The 11,227-nt window shown below is 51.2% G+C and overlaps 1 protein-coding gene across 7 annotated transcripts, besides 2 other annotated features; it reads right to left on the bottom strand.

The window, feature by feature from the left end:
- MOSPD3 (motile sperm domain containing 3) lies at positions 4,364 to 7,579 on the bottom strand. 7 transcript variants are annotated; one of them, NM_001040097.2, is made up of 6 exons: positions 7,500 to 7,579; positions 6,745 to 7,011; positions 6,472 to 6,547; positions 6,035 to 6,264; positions 4,710 to 4,874; positions 4,364 to 4,589 (listed from the first exon to the last, which is right to left on the bottom strand). In NM_001040097.2, exons 2-6 carry the CDS (start codon positions 6,947 to 6,949, stop codon positions 4,558 to 4,560), a joined length of 708 nt encoding a protein of 235 aa, NP_001035186.1. In that variant the 5' UTR covers positions 6,950 to 7,011; positions 7,500 to 7,579; the 3' UTR covers positions 4,364 to 4,557. The 7 variants fall into 7 exon arrangements, with proteins under 7 accessions (NP_001035186.1, NP_001350345.1, NP_001035187.1 ...); NM_001363416.1 differs by lacking the exon at positions 7,500 to 7,579 and adding an exon at positions 7,267 to 7,359; NM_001040098.1 differs by lacking the exon at positions 7,500 to 7,579 and adding an exon at positions 7,256 to 7,311.
- Positions 7,159 to 7,218: a silencer, noted in NCBI's record as "silent region_18450". NCBI's record gives its function as "represses an Ori minimal core promoter by ATAC-STARR-seq in GM12878 lymphoblastoid cells {active_cell/tissue: GM12878}" and the evidence as "EXISTENCE:reporter gene assay evidence [ECO:0000049][PMID:35858748]".
- Positions 7,339 to 7,608: an enhancer, noted in NCBI's record as "active region_26377". NCBI's record gives its function as "activates an Ori minimal core promoter by ATAC-STARR-seq in GM12878 lymphoblastoid cells {active_cell/tissue: GM12878}" and the evidence as "EXISTENCE:reporter gene assay evidence [ECO:0000049][PMID:35858748]".

The raw sequence follows: 11,227 nt of genomic DNA, 5'->3' as shown, positions 1-11,227 counted from the left end.
ACCCCAGTGCTTTGGGAGGATGAGGCGGGAAGGTCATGTAAAGCCAGGAGTTCAAGACCAGCCTGGACAACACAGGGGAGAACCTGTCTCTACAAAAACTAAAAAACTTTAGTTGGGCATAGTGGTGTGTACTGTACTCCCAGATACTCAGGAGGCTGAGGCAAGGCAGGGATAATTTGAGCCCAGGAATTTCAGGCTGCAGTGAGTTATGATCGAGCCACTACACTCCAGTCTGGGTGACAGAATGAGACCTTGTCTCAAAAAAAAAAAAAAAAAAGGAACAAAGCTTTTTTTTGTTTTTGTTTTCTACAATTTCTCAACCTGTCATGGTATTCTTTTATTTGATATTTAATGTTGCACTCCTTTGGATATGGGGACACACTTTCAAAACATAAATTCATGCTTGAACCCGGGAGGCAGAGGTTGCAGTGAGCCGAGATCATGCCACTGCACTCCAGCCTGGGTGACAGAGCAAGACTCTGTCTCAGGGTAACAAAAATTATTAGGAATTTCAAGGTTGGCACAGTGGCTCACGCCTGTAATCCCAGTACTTTGGGAAGCCAAGGCAGGCAGATTGCTTGAGCATAGGCGTTCCGGAGCAGCCTGGGCAATATGGTGAAATCTTATCTCTACAAAAAGTAAAAAAATTGCTGGGTGCGCTGGCTCACGCCTGTAATCCCAGCACTTTGGGAGGCCGAGGCAGGTGGATCACGAGGTCGGGAGATCGAGACCATCCTGGCTAACACGGTGAAACCCCGTCTCTACTAAAAATACAAAAAATTAGGTGGGCGTGGTGGCGGGCGCCTGTAATCCCAGCTACTCGGGAGGCTAAGGCAGGAGAATGGCGTGAACCCGAGGGGCGGAGCTTGCAGTGAGCCAAGATCGCACCACTGCACTCCAGCCTGGGCAACAGAGCGAGACTCTGTCTCAAAAAAAAAAAAAAAAAAAAATTAGCCAGGTGTGGTGGCGTGCACCTGTAGTCCCACCTACTCTAGGGTGCTGAGGTGGGAGAATTGCTTGAGCTTGGGAGGCGGAGGTGGCAGTGAGCCAAGATCATGCCACTGCACTCCAGCCTGGGCAACAGAGTGGGAGAGTGGAACCCTGTCTCAAAAAAAAAAAAAAAAGAAAAAGAAAAAGAAAAAGAATGTCAACATAACAATCTCAGAGCATTAAACCCCAAGCACAGAACCCCCTTCTGAGCATGGGGCCCTGTAAGACTCCAACAGTGGTTACACACATTAGATGATTGGCCCTGCCTGGAACATCCTCCAGGATCCCCCCGCCTCCTTTTTTTTTAGACGGAGTCTCGCACTGTTGCCCCAGGTAGAGTGCAGTGGCGCGATCTCGGCTCATGGCAACCTCTGCCTCCCAGGTTCAAGCAATTCTCCTGCCTCAGCCTCCCTAGTAGCTAGGATTACAGGTGCCCGCCACCACGCCCAGCTAATTTTTTGTTGTTGTTGTTGTATTTTTAGCAGAGACAGGGTTTCACCATGTTGGCCAGGCTGGCCTCGAACTCCTGACCTCATGATCTGCCCTCCTTGGCCTCCCAAAGTGCTAGGATTACAGGTGTGAGTCACCATGCCTGGCCAGGATCCCCTTTGACCAGTCTTTGTCCAGTGAGGGTGGAGACACTGAAGTGTAAGCTACTGGAGGCAGGGAATTCTAAGTGCTGCTGGCACCGTGTGCCTTTAATCACAGCTTCAGGAGGCTGTGGTCTTGACAGCTCTTCAAGACACTGGGAAGTAAAAGCTTCTTGGTCTAAGGCTTGGGATGCCACAGGGCTCTGGATTTCAGGATGCAACTGTACCCTCCTTAGCCCCCTAAGCTTGACTTGTTGAGTTCTCAGAACCCTGAATTAGGATCAGAAACCTCCTGAGCTATTTGCTTCCCTGAGATACAGTCCAGACAAGTGTCCCAAAGCACCTTCTCAACCCTTCTTCACTTTGTCCATTTCTCCCTGTGGTAGACAGAATAATGATCTGGACAAAAATGTCCATATCGTAATCCCTGAAACCTGTGAATGAAGTCCCTAAAACGGACATTGCACATGTGATCTTGAGATGGGTGAATTAAGGATCTTTTGGTTTGTTTCCTTACTTATCGGAAATTTTTAATTTTAATTCAGCCTCCAGAGTAGCTGGGATTGCAGACATGAGCCACCACGCCCAGCTAAGTTTTTGTTTTGTAGAGATAGAGTCTCACTATGTGGCCCAGGCTGGAGTGCGGTGCTGCAATCATAGCTTATTGCAACCTCAAACTCCTGGGTTCAAGAGATCCTCCCACCTCAGCCTCCTGAGTAGCTGGGACTGCAAGTGTGAGCCACCATGCCTGGCTAATTAAAAAAAAAAAAATGCCAGGTGTGGTGGCTCATGCCTGTAATCCCAGCGCTTTGGGAGGCTGAGGTGGGCCTGAGGTCAGGAGTTTGAGATCAGCCTGGCCAACATGGTGAAGCCCTCTCTATAATTATACAAAAATAAGTCAGGGGTGGTGGCGCACCTCTGTAGTCCTAGCTACAAAGGAGGCTGAGGCAGGAGAGTCACTTGAACCCAGGAGGTGGAGGTTCCAGTGAGCCTTGATTGTACCACTGCACTCCAGCCTGGGCGACAGAGCGAGACTCCATCTCAAAAAAAAAAAATTTTTTTTTAGAGACAGGCTCTTGCTATATTGTCCAGGCTAGTGTTGAACTTCTGGCCTCAAGCTCTTCTCCTGCTCTGGCCTCTCAAAGCACTAGGATTACAGGCGTGAGCCCCTGCCCCCAGCCCCTCAGAAAGCCTTCTTGACCACACCAGTAACAAGGTCTTTTCACAAGTACTCACAAGACCATTAACCTATGTGGCACCTCGAATGCGTTTTGGGGACCTGGGCGCATCCAGACTGGTGTGAACGGATATCTTCCATACACATGTAATTTAGCAAAGGGGTTTCCTGGGCTATGGCAAGAGCTGTCCCCAGACTCCTGGACACAAACGGCACACCCATTCTCCATGCAGTATCAGGGCCACACCCCACTGGAGCCAGTTCTGGGTGTGAGAGGGAGAAGACTCCCAGGGTAGTGGAGCAGGTCCCAATGCCCCTAAAGTAAAGCTGGAACAACTGATCACCTTCCAGTGCTGTGACAGCCTGGGTCTGTCTTAATATCTTGCTGATCTTTGTTCCCAGTCAACCATCTGCCCAGAGTCACTGGCTCTCCCTCCTTTTTATTTTTTTTGTAGAAATGGGGTCTACGCTATGTTGTCCAGGCTGGTCTTGAAACCCTGGGCTCAGGCAATCCTCCCACCTTGGTCTCTCAAAGCACTGGGATTACAGATGTGAGCCACTGAGCCTGGCCATTCTCCCTCTTCCTCTGTTTCTCCTCACCCTGCACCTGAAGGAGGGCAGGTGAGCTGGAAGCTTGCTTTTGTAAATCTTATTCTTTTCCTGTACCCTAGTTTTTTCTTTTTTTTTTTTTTTCCTGGTTAAGGTGAGGTTATGTCAAGCAATACTATTTCCCCCATATTGGTAGGGACTTTGGTGTTTCTGATCCATGGGAGTTGAAGCCTTGTTTCTTTTTTTTAGATGGAGTCTTGCTCTGCTGCCCAGGCTGGAGTGCAATGGCACAATCTTAGCTCACTGCAGCCTCCACCTCTCAGGTTCAAATGATTCTCTTACCTCAGCCTCCTGAGTAGCTGGGATTACAGGCACCTACCACCATGTCCAGCTAATTTTTGTATTTTTAGAGACAAAATTTCACCATGTTGGGTGTATTTTTTGTATTTTTAGAGACAAGAGTTCACCATGTTGGCCAGGCTGGTCTCGAACTCCTGGCCTCAAGTGATCCACTCGCCTCGGCCCTGCAAAGTGCTGGGATTACAGGCATGAGCCACTGTGCCCAGCCAAGGGAGTTGAAGTCTTAAAGGAAAGACCCAGGAAAACAGATATAGGGTCCAAAAGGCAGAAAAGGATTCTAGGGGTTGTAAACACCCAGGTAACCCTGGTGAAAGGCTTTGTTGCCTCCAGATGGTGGGACAGGAGTTCCACCGCAGGCAGGATTAGGTGGTATTTTCATTCATTTCTTTTTAGGTTAATACATTGGCTTAGGGACAGGATCCTATTCCAGGGCTGAAGGGGATCTTGAGAATCAACTTGCCCAATGCTCTCATTTTGTAGGTAGAATCTACAGCTCAGAGAAATTAAATAATTTGCTCATGGTCACATAGTTTTTCAGCGCAAGCACCAGGAGTGACCTAACTCTTCTAAATCCTCGCTGGGCCTCATCACTGCCCCAAGTGCCTGGGTCCCCTGGGAACAGGGGTGGGAGAACTAGAGGATGTCTGAGTACCAAAAAAGAAGTGGGAAGACAGGGGCAAGTACCCTACATTTCTGATTATCATTTTAAAAATGTATTTTATTCAACTTGGAAAATGAGTACAAATCCCTGGGTGTTTTTTGTCAGGGAGGAGTGGGGAGTAGGCAGGAAAGAGAAGAGGGTAGGAGGCAAGGTAAGGTATGAGCATCACAGTGGCTGCCTCAAGACCCTGCCCAGGGAGGGTGGGGTGGGCTGGGGGTTGAGCACGGAGCTCAGGTCCGGAGGAACACCATGGTGAGGAGGCCTGGAGGGGGGACAAAGAAAGAATAGGGTCGCATGGGCAGCCCTGGGGCTCTGTTAGCTCTCCTCCCGTCCCTTCTCCCTTTTTCCTGGGGCCTGGGTCCCTGGCCACTACTGTCCTCACCCAAGACGTAGGCGGCCACCAACTTTTGTCCCAGGGAGACGTGCAGGACTTGAGGCAGCTGGCTGCCGAGTTCGTCCGGGAGTGGGAGCAGCAGGAAGGCCACAGACACAATCCCCGTCAGCAAGAAGAGGAGGAAGGAGCTGGTGGCCAGTTGCTGGCGGGGGTCTGAGAAACAAGACTCATCAGATGCTGCAGCCCCCACTCCTGCCCAGCCCAGGTCCTCCAGGGAGAAGCCTGAACAAGGAAGATGTATCTACTTTTTTTTTTTAATTATCTTTTATTTTTTGTAGAGATGGAGTCTCACTACGTTGTCCAGGCTGGTCTGGAACTCTTGGCCTCAGGTGATCCTCCTGCCTTAGCTTCCTAAGTAGCTGGGACTATGGGTTCATGCTACCATGCCCGGCTAATTTTTAAGTTGTTTGTAGATGGTCTTGCTATGTTGTCCAAGCTGATCTTGAACTCCTGGCCTCGAGCAATTGCAATCCTCCCACCACTTCAGCCTCCCAAAGCACTGGGATTATAGGTGTGAGTCACCACACCCTGTATCTACTTTTTTTTTTTTTTGAGACGGAGTCTCACTCTGTTGCACCCAGGCTGGAGTGCAGCCACACAATCCTGACTCACTGCAGCCTCTGCCTCCTAGGTTCAAGTGATTCTCCTGCCTTAGCCTCCCGACTAGCTGGGATTACAGGTGCGAGCCACCACTCCCAGCTAATTTTTGTGTGTTTTTAGTAGAGACGGGGTTCCATCATGTTGGTCAGGCTGGTATTGAACTCCTGGCCTCAGGTTATCAGCCCACCTCAGCCTCCCAAAGCACTGGGATTATAGGCGTGAGCCATCACACCCTGTATCTACTTTTTACTGCCCTCCAGGGGTACACTGCAAGTGTCCTCTCCTTCCTACAGCCTCTGTCCCCACCACCACAAGAACTCTCTCCTCCAGTCCCTCAGCATTCATTTTCTCTCTTCTGTGGACCTATCCGACAGGCAGGGACCTCTCTTGATCTCATACCCAGCACACAACTTGGTACAGGGTTAATTGCTCAATACAGGTTTCTTATTGAACTGAACTGAGCTACCACATGATAGGAAGTACTGCGGTTACAGTCAAGGAAGAACTTTTTCCTCTAAGTAGAAGTCAGAAACCAGGGAAGCTGTAAGTCTTTTCCCCCTCACCTGATATAAAATCTCAACTCGGAGGAATGTTTCCACCAAAAGACAAAAGACTGAACCAGGAGACTTCTTCAAATCCAATTTATCTCATCTCTAGGGAAATGCTAGTTCCTCCCTCCCTACAGAACTCAAGATCCCAGTCTCCCAACTCACGCTCCTGGAAGTGTCTGGCCGTGGGTGGTGGTGTCCCAGCAGGAGGCCCTGGGCGAGGCGCTGGATCTGGCTGTCCCTGAAGCTCAAGGGGGTACGCTGGGGCTCTCAGAATGGAGGTAATGTCCTTGCGTCCCACCACTCGGCCCTCAGCTCCTTCCTCAGACAGCTCAATGCGGAAGCGGTCCTGGACATCATAGTGGCTGGGAATGGGTGCCACATGGCGAATCACACTGGTCCCAAGGTAGGAGAGAAGCCCATTGGGGTGAATGAGGCAGTAATCCAAGGAAATCTGGGCCTCCCCCCAGAAGTCTCTCCCTTAGGGGCACAGGCAGAGGATAGGGCAAATAGGTTAAAGGGGGCAAGGTCTCAGACCTCAGACAACAGGTGGCAGCGACCCCTGGCTTCCACAAGCCTCCCCACCCTCCCAGCTCACTCACATGTCAATGCAAGACTGGGGCTTCACATATCCCTCTGCGTCAAACACCGTGTATTTGGCAGGTGCTGTGCACAGGACTGGGGGATAGAGACACACACAGACAAGCCCTGCCATGTGGGTCATTTAAGTCCCCTCTGCCTTCTGCCCCGGAGGCTGGACATGACTTTCCCAGTCCACCAAAGCTGGACGTGCAACCCTACCCATCTGACTCCTCCAGCCAACACAACCCCCCAGTGTCCGGCCACCAGCCCCCACGAGGCGCCGATCCCTTTACCTCGGAAGCGAAGCGCAGTTCCTGTGGGGTTATAGAGGGTCAGCAGCTGTCGGGGTCCGCTCCGCTGGTCCGCCCTGAATACTAGATCCGGGGGAAAGACCAGGACCGGGACAACGGGTCCCAAGGGAGGAGGGGCGCCCCGGGACCCCCGCCCAGGGGGCCCCGGACCCACCAGCTCCTGGTCCTGGGGCGCCCCACGGCGCATGCAGGCTCTGGGCGGTCGGACATCCGAGGGCAGAGCTCAGGGGACAGGGCCTGGAGTCAGAGCTGGGGGGCGTGAGGGGCGAAAGGGGACAAGATGAGCTCCCGGAGCAGGGCCTCGACTGATGCCGCCGCCGCCTTGGAACCCCGCTAGATGGGGCTCCCGCAGACCCAGGCCCAGGGCCCCCAAGACCTTTCCTCTTCCAGCTCTGCCCCAGGTTCCTTCGGACCCGCCGAGCCCCACCTCGACGGCCACGCCCACCCCGCTAAACCCGGCCCCTCGCAGCTCCCAACCCGGCCTTCTCCTCACGCCCAGCTCACGATCTCCATAAGCCCCGCCCCGCCGCTGGCCTCGCCCCTTCCGGGCGTTCCCGGACGCCCGCCTCCTCTCTCCAGCCAGACTCCGCCCGCTGCAGCGGGCGCCTGCAGAGCGACCTGTGACGCCGCCTGCTTCCTGGGAGACCTGTGTTTGCGTCTCCGGCCCCTCCCTAAGCTCGGACACGGGCCCCATCGGGCTTCTGCCTCAAAACGGTCGCTCGCGTTAGGATGCCCACCTTGTGGTTAAAGCACCTGCCAGTCAGCTTGTGGTCAGATTAATGTTGCCATGTTCCAGAGAGTCCTTTTCTATACTTCCGCCGTACGGCCTCTGTCATTGGCTAGGACGTCTTTGTTTCTGCCGTAACTATACGCCGATTGGTGTGCTGAAAGACCAAACAACGCCCTCCTTCTGTCGTCTGCGATTGGCTGGATTCCGGTGACGTAACAGTTGTACTGGCTCGAACTCGAGCCCTGAAGTAACTCAGAGAACCGGGGGCGGGGTTTCGAACTGGGCTTTGTTCTTTCCTCCCTATTCTTGAGATGGTCCAAGTCAATCTCCCACCGGGAAGCCCTTTTCCTCCTCTTCATTCCAGGCTCTAGAAGCCTCTGCAGGAACCAAGCCTGTTTTCTTTGCTTTTTTTTTTTTTTTTTTGAGACGAAGTCTCGCTCTGTCACCCAGGCTGGAGTGCAATGGCACGATCTCGGCTCACTGCAACCACCGCCTCCAGGGTTCAAGCGATTCTCCTGTCTCAGCCTCCCGAGTAGCTGGGATTATAGGCGTGCGCCATCACGCCCGGGTAATTCTTTGTATTTTTAGTAGAGACGGGGTTTCACCATGTTGGTCAGGCTGGTCTCGAACTCCTGACCTCAGGCGATCCACTTGCCTCAGCCTCCCAAAGTCCTGTAATTACAGGCGTGAGCCACCGTGCCCGCCCTCTTTTTTGCTTTTTTAGAGACAGAGTCTCACTCTGTCGCCCAGGCTGGAGTGCAGTGGCGCTATCATTGCTCACTGCAGCCTCCAACTCCTGGGTTCAAGCGATTCTCCTGCCTCAGCCTCCCGAGTAGCTGGGATTACAGGCGTGCATCACCATGCCTGGCTTTTTGTAATTTTTTGTAGAGACGATCTCGCTATGTTCTGCAGGCTGTTCTCGAACTCCTGGGCCCAAGCGATCCTCCCACTTAAGCCTCCCAAAGTGCATGAGAGCCACTGTTCCTTCCCCAGGCTCAAAGTCTGTTTTCTATGGGTTGGAGGTTCCTCCCATCTGGGACTCCAGACTAAGTCTTGCCTCCTGTTTCTCACCTTCCTGTGAGGGACGTGGGAAATCACTCACATTTGCACAGGGAATTAAGATTTGCTGATTTCAAACCCATGTTGTTTGAGTAATTATATATTTTAAAAAAGGATTTGCTAAACCCTGCCACTTTAATTGCATCGAATCTTCAACTCCTTTTACAGCCTGGATAAGGTGAAGAATCTGGGTCTCTGAGGGCACCCAGTTAGCAATGGAGCAAAGACAAAGTTGATCTTATCTGAAAGTCTCCTCTGAACATCTTGTGTAGAATCCCCGTGTTCTCTTTTACATTTTCTTTTTCTTTTTCTTTTTTTTTTTTTTTTTTTTTGAGACAGTCTTGTGCTGTCACACAGGCTGGAGGGCAGTGGTACAATCATAGCTCACTGCAGTCTCCACCTGCTTGGTTGCGCTCAACCAATCCTCCCACCTCAGCCTTCTGAGTAGCTGGGACTACAGGCGCGCGACTTCACACCCGGCTAATTGTATTTGTTTTTTTTGTTTTGTTTGGTTTGGTTTATTTTTTGAGATGGAGTCTCGCTCTTTCACCCAGGCCAGACTGCAGTGGCGCAATCTCGGACTGCAGTGGCGCGATCTCAGCTCACTGCAAGCTCCACCTCCCGGGTTCACACCATTCTCCTGCCTCAGCCTCCCGAGTAGCTGGGACTACAGGCACCCACCACCAAACCCGGCTAATTTTTTGTATTTTTAGTAGAGATGATGTTTCACCATGTTAGCCAGGATGGTCTGGATCTCCTGACCTTGTGATCCGCCCGCCTCAGCCTCCCAAAGTGCTGGGATTACAGGCGTGAGCCACCGCTCCCTGCCCTGTATTTGTTTTTTTAATAGCACTTATAGTGATACATGACCTCCTATTTTATTGTTTCTCTCTCCTCCAGTAGAATGTTTTTTCCTTTTCACAAGAGCAGGGACTTTGTTTAGTTTTCTGTTGTATCTTTAGGACTTATGACAGTGCCTACCATTTGGAATGAACAAATGAATGAGTGACTAGGATGAACTTTGAGCAGAGATCTGACTGGATTTAGGAAGTGAACCATGAGATATGTCTATGGGAGAGAATTCTGGATAGAGGAAATAGCAAAGGCCTAAAACAGAAGTGTACTAGAAATGGGCAACAAGGCCGGGTGCGGTGGTTCACCCCTGTAATTCCAGCACTTTGGGAGGCCGAGGCGGGCAGATCACAAGGTCAGGAATTCGAGACCAGCCTGACCAACATGGTGAAACCCCGTCTCTACTAAAAATACAAAATTAGCCGGGCGTGGTGGCACATGCCTGTAGTCCCACCTACTCGGGAGGCTGAGGCAGGAGAATCGCTTGAATCTGGGAGGCGGAGGTTGCAGGGAGCCGAGATATCGCCACTGCACTGCAGTCCAGCCAGATCATGCCACTGTGCTCCAGCCTGGGTGACAGAGCGAGACTCCATCTCAAAAAAAAAAAAAAAAAAAAAGAAATGGGCAACAAACTGAAGTTGCCAATGTGACTGGAACAGATGATACATAGGAGATAATAGACATGAAGCTACGAGGCAGGAGAGAGAATGCAGATGATATAGGGCCTTGAACCCTTGGTAAGACTTAGGAAACTACAGGAAAGTTTTGAGTAAAGGAGGGACAAGATGTGACATAATCGGCCGGGCATGGTGGCTCACGCCTGCAATCCCAGCACTTTGGGAGGCCAAGGGGTGTGCATCACCTGAGATTGGGAGTTCGAGAGCAGCATGACCAACATGGAGAAACCCCATCTCTACTAAAAATACAAAATTAGCTGGGTGTGGTGGTGCGCACCTGTAATTCCAGCTAATCGGGAGGCTGAGGCAGGAGAATCATTTGAACCCAGGAGGCGGAGTTTGCAGTGAGCCGAGATTGCGCCATTGCACCCCAGCCTGGGCAACAAGAGTGAAACTCCGTCTCAAAAAAAAAAAAAAAAAAAAAAAAAAAAAAAAAAAGATGTGACATATTTTCTTTTCTTTTTTATTTTATGTTATTTTTTTCAGACGGAGTCTCACTCTGTTGCCCAGGCTGAAGTGCAGTGGCACAATCTCAGCTCACTGCAATCTCCACCTCTTGAGTTCAAGCAATTCTTTTGCCTCAGCCTCCTGAGTAACAGGTGCCCGCCACCACGCCCAGCTAATTTTTTTGTATTTTTAGTAGAGACGGGGTTTCACCATGTTGGCCAGGCTGGTCTCAAACTCCTGACCTCAAGTAATCTGCCTGCCTTGGCGTCTCAAAGTGCTGGGATTACAGGCATGAGCCACCGCGCCCCGCCAAGACATGACATCTTTTCTTTTTACTTTTTTAGAGACAGAGTCTTACTCTTTTGCCCAGGCTGGAGTACAGTGGTGTGATCATAGCTCACTGCAGCCTCAGAGTCCTGGGCTCAAGCAAGCCTCCCACATCAGCCTCCTGAGTAGCTGGGACCACAGATGAGTACCACCATGCCCAGCTAATTATTTTTTGTAAAGACAGAATCTGGCCATGTTGCCCAGACTGATCTCAAACTTCTGACCTCAAGTGATCCTCCCACCTTAGCCTCTCAAAGTGCTGGGATTACAGGCATCAGCCACTGCACCTGGCCTGTGACTTACATTCTTTTTTTTTTTTTTGAGACAGGGTCTCACTGTGTTCCCCCAGGTGGAGTACAGTGGCATAGTCACA

The sequence above is a fragment of the Homo sapiens genome, chromosome 7 (assembly GCF_000001405.40).
Source record: "Homo sapiens chromosome 7, GRCh38.p14 Primary Assembly".
NCBI lineage: Eukaryota > Metazoa > Chordata > Mammalia > Primates > Hominidae > Homo > Homo sapiens.
This window is presented reverse-complemented; position numbering and strand designations above follow the sequence as displayed.